Below are 6,173 nucleotides of genomic sequence, written 5' to 3'. Positions count from 1 at the left end.
ATGTTTCCTGACCACAAACTCCTTTAGGCAGCTGCTTAAAGGACCTCAGGCAGGTCCTTTAGGCAGACCAGGGCTCTGCAGATCACACCCAGAGGAGCGCTAATCTCCAACCATCTTATCCCATAGTGTGAGGAACTGAAATTGAACAAGATGAAGCCCTGGCCCAGGTGCACGTGACAGAGCCAAGGCTGCAACTCACACTCCCTGACTTATAGCCCCGTGCTTGGTCCACATCACAGAGACATGCTTTAGGCCCCATCTAAATACAGGAGATGCTGAGTGAGGCCTTGCTGGAGGCCCATTAATCATGGGCCTTATATTGGAATCCAGGCCTCTTGAATTTCAGCTTGGAGCATAAAAAGGCCCACAACACTGGTACAGTCAGAAATACAGAACCGCACTTAGGAGTTATGTATTTTTAGCACCTTTAGATGCCTGCAAGAGTGGGGCTGGGGCCCCTGGGGGGATGAATCACACTATTGCAGCATACCTGGTAAAAGGATCCCATCCGAACAGAGCATGAGGCTCTGAGCATGCTCTGAGCACACAGCCAGCGGATGCTGGACACCAGTTAAAGGGTTGGGCCATGCCACAGCCTTCCTGCTGCCATCAACAGGAAGGGCACAGAGGAGGTGACTTTCTCAGGGAGGCAACAGGTGCATGCCCCTGCAGAGGCTGACTCCAAGGCCTTTCCCAGACTTCCCAAGGCAGAAGATTCAGACCCGGCTGTGCTTAATCTGAAAGCTGCCCCTTGGTTCAGGTTTCGGCCGGAGCAAGCCAGGCACAGCTGTTGGCTATGGGCAGGGACTCATAGCTTAGGTAGGTCTGTGGGTGGAGAATGGAGACAGATACCTTTGGAGAACAGTGGTTCTCCGACTTGAGCAGGCATCAGAATCACCAGGAGAGGGCCAGGCACGGTGGCTCGCGCCTGTAATCCCAGCACTCTGGGAGGCCAAGGTGGGTGGATCACTTGAGGTCAGGAGTTCAAGACCAGCCTGGCCAACTTGGTGAATCCCACCTCACCCACCCCTCCCCTCCACGTCTCTACTAAAAATACAAAAATTGGCTGGGCGCGGTGGCGCACGCCTGTAATCCCAGCTACTTGGAAGGCTGAAGCAGGAGAATCGCTTGAACCTGGGAGGTGGAGGTGGAGGTTGCAGGGAGCAGAAATCACGCCACCGCACTCCAGCCTGGGCAACAGGGCAAGACTCCGTCTCAAAAAAAAAAAAAAAAAAAAGAATCACTGGGAGGGCTTGTAAACATTGTAAACACACGCATTGGCAGGCCCCCAGCCCAGGAGTGGCTGATTCAGCTGGTCTGGGGGTGGACCTGGCAGTTTGCATTGCTAAGTTCCCACTGTCACGGCCGCTGCTGGTCTAGGGACCGCATTTTCAGGACTGCTGCTCTAGCGCGCCCCCTGGAGGATGCCCTGAGCTCTGCTCTCACGCAGACTTGAGATGAATGTTGCCTCTAGTCTCACCGTTTTAACCCGTTTTAGAATCTAAGCAGGGAGGTTGAATTCTGCCTCTCAACCTGTACTGTCTAGGAGACCAATACACAGAACTCCGAGAATGGAGGGAAATATTGCTCTAATATTTTAAACAACTTGAGATATCATTCACATACCATACATTTCACCCATTCAAAGTGTACGATTCCATTTTTTGTACAGTCACAGATGCGTGCGACCATCACCCAGTTTTAGAACATTTTCATCACCACAAAGATAAATACCGTGCCCTTGAGCTGTTGCTCCCCATCCTTCCTCGTCCCCACCCCAGCCCTAAGCATCCACGAATCTACTTTGTCTCTATGAATTTGCCTATTCTGACGAATTCTGGACATTTCACAGAAATGGAATCATACAACATGTGGCCTTTTGTGTCTGGCTTCTTTCACTCAGCATCACGTTTCCAAGGTTCATCCATGTTGTAGCGTGGATCAGAATTTAATTCTGTATTACGGACTGGATAATAGTCCGTTGCAGGGACAGACCAGATTGTGTTTATCCATGCATCCATTAATGGGCTTTGATTTTTGTGAATAATTGGTTATTTGTTAAAATTCATAGACTTGGACACACACAAACACACACCCAGCAGCTGCCGAAGCTCTCCTTTGAAAACGAATCAGATCACCTCCTTCCCGAGCTCACAGCCTTCTGTGATGCGCCAGCTCCCATTTCTCACATTTTCAGCACTTTGCTCCTCTAACTTGCTGCACATCCTTCCCCTGCAGAGCTTTTTAAAAAAAGTTGTAGTTTGAGATTCACAAACTAATGTACTAAAATCCACTGACTTGTATACATTGAAAGTATACAATGTAGGCCAGGCACTATGGCTCACGCCTGTCCAGCACTTTGGGAGGCCAAGGGGGTGGATCACTTGAGATCAGGAGTTCGAGACCATCCTGGCCAACATGGTGAAACCCCGTCTCTACTAAAAATACAAAAATTAGCCAGGTGTGGTGTCCGGTGCCTGTAATCCCAGCTACTCGGGAGGCTGAGGCATGAGAATCACTTGAACCTGAGAGGTGGAGGTTGCAGTGAGCAGAGATCGTGCTACTGCACTCCAGACTGGGCGACAGAGGGAGACTCTGTCTCAAAAAAAAAAAAAAAAAAAAGTATACAACACAGCGGGTTTTAGTACATTCATATCACTTATCCCCACCTGACCTATGTATCTTGTTGGTCTGTTTCTGCCCCTGGGGGCAGGCAGCCTGCTTCTTTGTCCACCACCCGATCCCCAGCATCTAGTACAGCGCCTGTCTGGCACAGAGTGGAGGCTTGATGAGTACGTGTGTTGAGAGTGAACGCAGAGTTCATTCAGAACTATCGTGCTCCAGCGGGAAAGTGAGTTCTAATCGGTCTTGATTTAAGGCTGTGGGCAGGTCCTTGAGAGAGTGGCCCAGGCCTCAGCCAACAGGTAGCAACGATGGGGTCTGTGCGGGTCCTCCCTCCGCCCTCCCCTGACCCCACGAAGACGCCCTGTCCGGTATCCACTGCCTCTCTGTTCCCTTTGGGTGAGGTAACAGAAATCTCTGCCGATGGTTTTGTGGAAGTCCAGGGCTTCCCTGGTTAACCTCTCCACTCACACATTTGCATTGTAGTGGAGCCTTTGGGGACACAATTCTGAACCCTATACAGAGACTCTGGTGGTGGTTGTTTTAGAGTTGTTAAAAAATATGGCCAGGCGCGGTGGCTCACGCCTGTAATCCCAGCATTTCGGGAGGCCGAGGCAGGCGGATCACTTGAGGTCAGGAGTTTAAGACCAGCCTGGCCAATATGGGGAAGCCCTGTCTCTACTAAAAATACAAAAATTAGCTGGGCGTGGTGGTGCATACCTATAATCCCAGCTACTCGGGAGGCTGAGGCAGGAGAATCGCTGGAACCCAGGAGGCGGAGGTTGCAACGAGCTGACATTGTGCCACTGCACTCCAGCATGGGCTACAGAGTGAGATTCTGTCTCAAACAAAAAAAAATGTGGTCTTAGCTGGCAGACCTGGGTTAACATCTGCCCCTGCTGAGCAGCTACCCCTGGTGTCCTAGTGCAGGCCCTTGGCCCTCTGCTGATTCTAGCCACAGCGGCGCTGGGCACCCAGTGCAGGCTCGGGGTGGCCACGTGCTGACGGTGTCCCCTCCATCACACACTGCACTTCCGTCCCATGGCCACTCAGGCCCTGCTTGGCTGTTGGTTGGCTCTGTGTGTGCACGGCAGCCAGGAGCTGAAGTGCGCCAAGGCCTCTGGGAGCAGCCCTCACTGAGCAGCGCAGGCCCCATAAATGCTCTCCTCTCCAACCGACAGCATGCGGGCCCAGCAACATCAAACCCCTGCCGTCTGAGGCAGTGGCCTTAGGAACATACCTTCCTTCCACTGAGGGCTTTTTTTTTTTTCTTTTAAAGAACAGGGTCTTGCTCTGTAGCCCAGCCTGGAGTGCAGTGGTGTGATCATAGCTCACTGCAGCCTGAACCTCACAGGCTCAAGCAATCCTCCTGCCTCAGCCTCCCAAGCAGCTAGAACTACAACGATGCACCACCATGCCTGGCTGATTTTCCATTTTTTTTGTGGAAATCAGGTCTCACTGTGTTACCCAAGCTGGTCTTGAAATCCTGGCTTCAAGTGATCTTCTTGCCTTGGCCTCCCAAAGTGTTGGGATTACAGGTGTGAGCTACTATGCTTGAATAATTTTTTTTAAAAAAATTTTGGCTGGGCACGGTGGCTCACACCTGTAATCCCAGCACTTTGGGAGGCCGAGGTGGGCAGATGGCCTGAAGTCAGGAGTTCGAGACCAGTCTGGCCAACATGGTGAAACCCCATCTCTATTAAAAAAAATAATAATAATTAGCTGGGCATGGTGGCACACGCCTGTAGTCCCAGCTACTCGGGAGGCTGAGGCAGGAGAGTCACTTGAACCTAGGAGGCTGCAGTGAGCCAAGATCACGCCACTGTACTCCAGCCTGGGCAACAGAGCAAGACCCTGTTAAAAAAAAAAAAAAAGCCAGGCACGGTGGCTCACGCCCGTAATCCCAACACTTTGGGAGCCGAGATGAGCAGATCACCTGAGGTCAGGAGTTCAAGACCAGCCTGGCCAACATGGTGAAAACCCATCTCTACTAAAAAAATACAAAAATTAGCTGGGTGTGGTGGCGCATGCCTGTAATCTCAGCTACTCGGGAGGCTGAGACAGGAGAATCGCTTGAACCCAGGAGGTGGAGGTTGTAGTGAGCCGAGATCCTGCCACTGTATTCCAGCCTGGGTGACAGAGCAAGACTCTGTCTCAAAAAAAAAAAAAAAAAATTTTTTTTTTTGTAGAGTCAGAGGTCTCCCTATGTTGCCCCGGCTGGTCTCAGACTCCTGGGCCCAAGCAATCCTCCTGCCTAGGTCTCTAAAAGTGCTGGAATTACAGGTGTGAGCCATCACACCCAGCTCCTCCCATGGTTTGCAGATAGGGTTCCAGGGTCAGGGACGGGACACGGCTGACACCTCTCGCAGGGCCAGCAACCTGGGGGAGTTTTCTGATGGCCTCAAGAGGTGAAATGCAGCAAACTGACTCCCTGACTTCCCAGGAGGTTCTGGCAGAAGCCACGTGGCCTCTGCTCATCACACCTGGGACGTTTGCTCTGGGAGCCTTTGGCTGCCATGTAAGAAATCTAGGTGAGGCCGTGTGAAGAGACCAGAGAGAGCCAGACCAAAGTGAACAAGGAGAGAGAGAGAAAGAGACTGGGGGGGCGGGGAAGAGAAGGGGAAATGAGAAGGCAGGGAGAGAGGGAGAGAGAAGAAAGGGAGAGGGAGATGCTGGAGGAGCTGTGTGTTCTCACTCACGCCTTCAAGAGCCACTACCTGTCCATGACCATGTGACCGTGCAGGAGCCTCAGGGGAGAGCCTCTGAGCCAAGCCCAGTCAACCTGCAGAGTGGTCCGCCATGATATTGTTGGAAGCCGTGGCTTGGGGTTACTCGGCAATAAAGCACCTTCTCGTGGGCCTTCTCTCCTTCTTCATGGCATTCTGGCTTCCCGGGGACCACCTCTCTGCCCTACCTGTGTCCAAGTCCTTGTCTAAGGTTCTGCGTTGAAGAGAACTCAAACCAAGGCAACGACTGACTGGCTGGGCGGGGAAGACAATACAGTTGGGGTAAGGTAATTAACCTGAGCTTTGGATTCTTCACCTGGAAAATCGGGAGACTATCAACCTAACCTGAGATGCTTCTGAAGCGGATGCGAAAGAACCCAGGTGAGGAAGTCGGCACCGGGCAGCGGGTCCCGTTTGGGGCTCACTGGCTCAGAGGCAAATTCTAACCACCTTATCAGGTATGATGGCTGCGCAGACACCCCTCCCCAACCCTCCCGATGCTGACCTGCCGAAGGGACAAGGAAAGGGTGCACAACCGTGCCTGGGCTTCTCTGCTGGTGGCCTTGCAAAACCCCAGCAAGGCAGGGGAGCGCCCGAAGGAAAACAGAGCTGGTTCTTAGAGTATTGTGATTGCATTTTTTCTGATAAAGATAGCACACTGCTTGTCATAAGCTGTTTCCCTTGGTTTCTGTGTTTCTTTTCTAATCAAATTACCCCAGTTGACACACATTTAAGCAAATAGTTTCATTTCAGGTCACGGGGACTTAGCCCTGCAATCAAGGAACTGAATGAAATTCCTGGCAAAATACAGTAATTAGAAACACA

The 6,173-nt window shown here is 51.7% G+C and overlaps 1 annotated feature.

The window, feature by feature from the left end:
* Nucleotides 935-1,436: an enhancer, noted in NCBI's record as "H3K4me1 hESC enhancer chr16:84706085-84706586 (GRCh37/hg19 assembly coordinates)". NCBI's record gives its function as "activates a minimal SCP1, AML or CMV promoter by ChIP-STARR-seq in naive and primed H9 embryonic stem cells {active_cell/tissue: H9 hESC(naive and primed)}" and the evidence as "EXISTENCE:reporter gene assay evidence [ECO:0000049][PMID:30033119]".

This window comes from Homo sapiens, chromosome 16 (genome assembly GCF_000001405.40).
Source record: "Homo sapiens chromosome 16, GRCh38.p14 Primary Assembly".
NCBI lineage: Eukaryota > Metazoa > Chordata > Mammalia > Primates > Hominidae > Homo > Homo sapiens.
The sequence above is the reverse complement of the archived record's forward strand: the minus strand, read 5'-3'. Positions and strand labels throughout refer to the sequence as shown.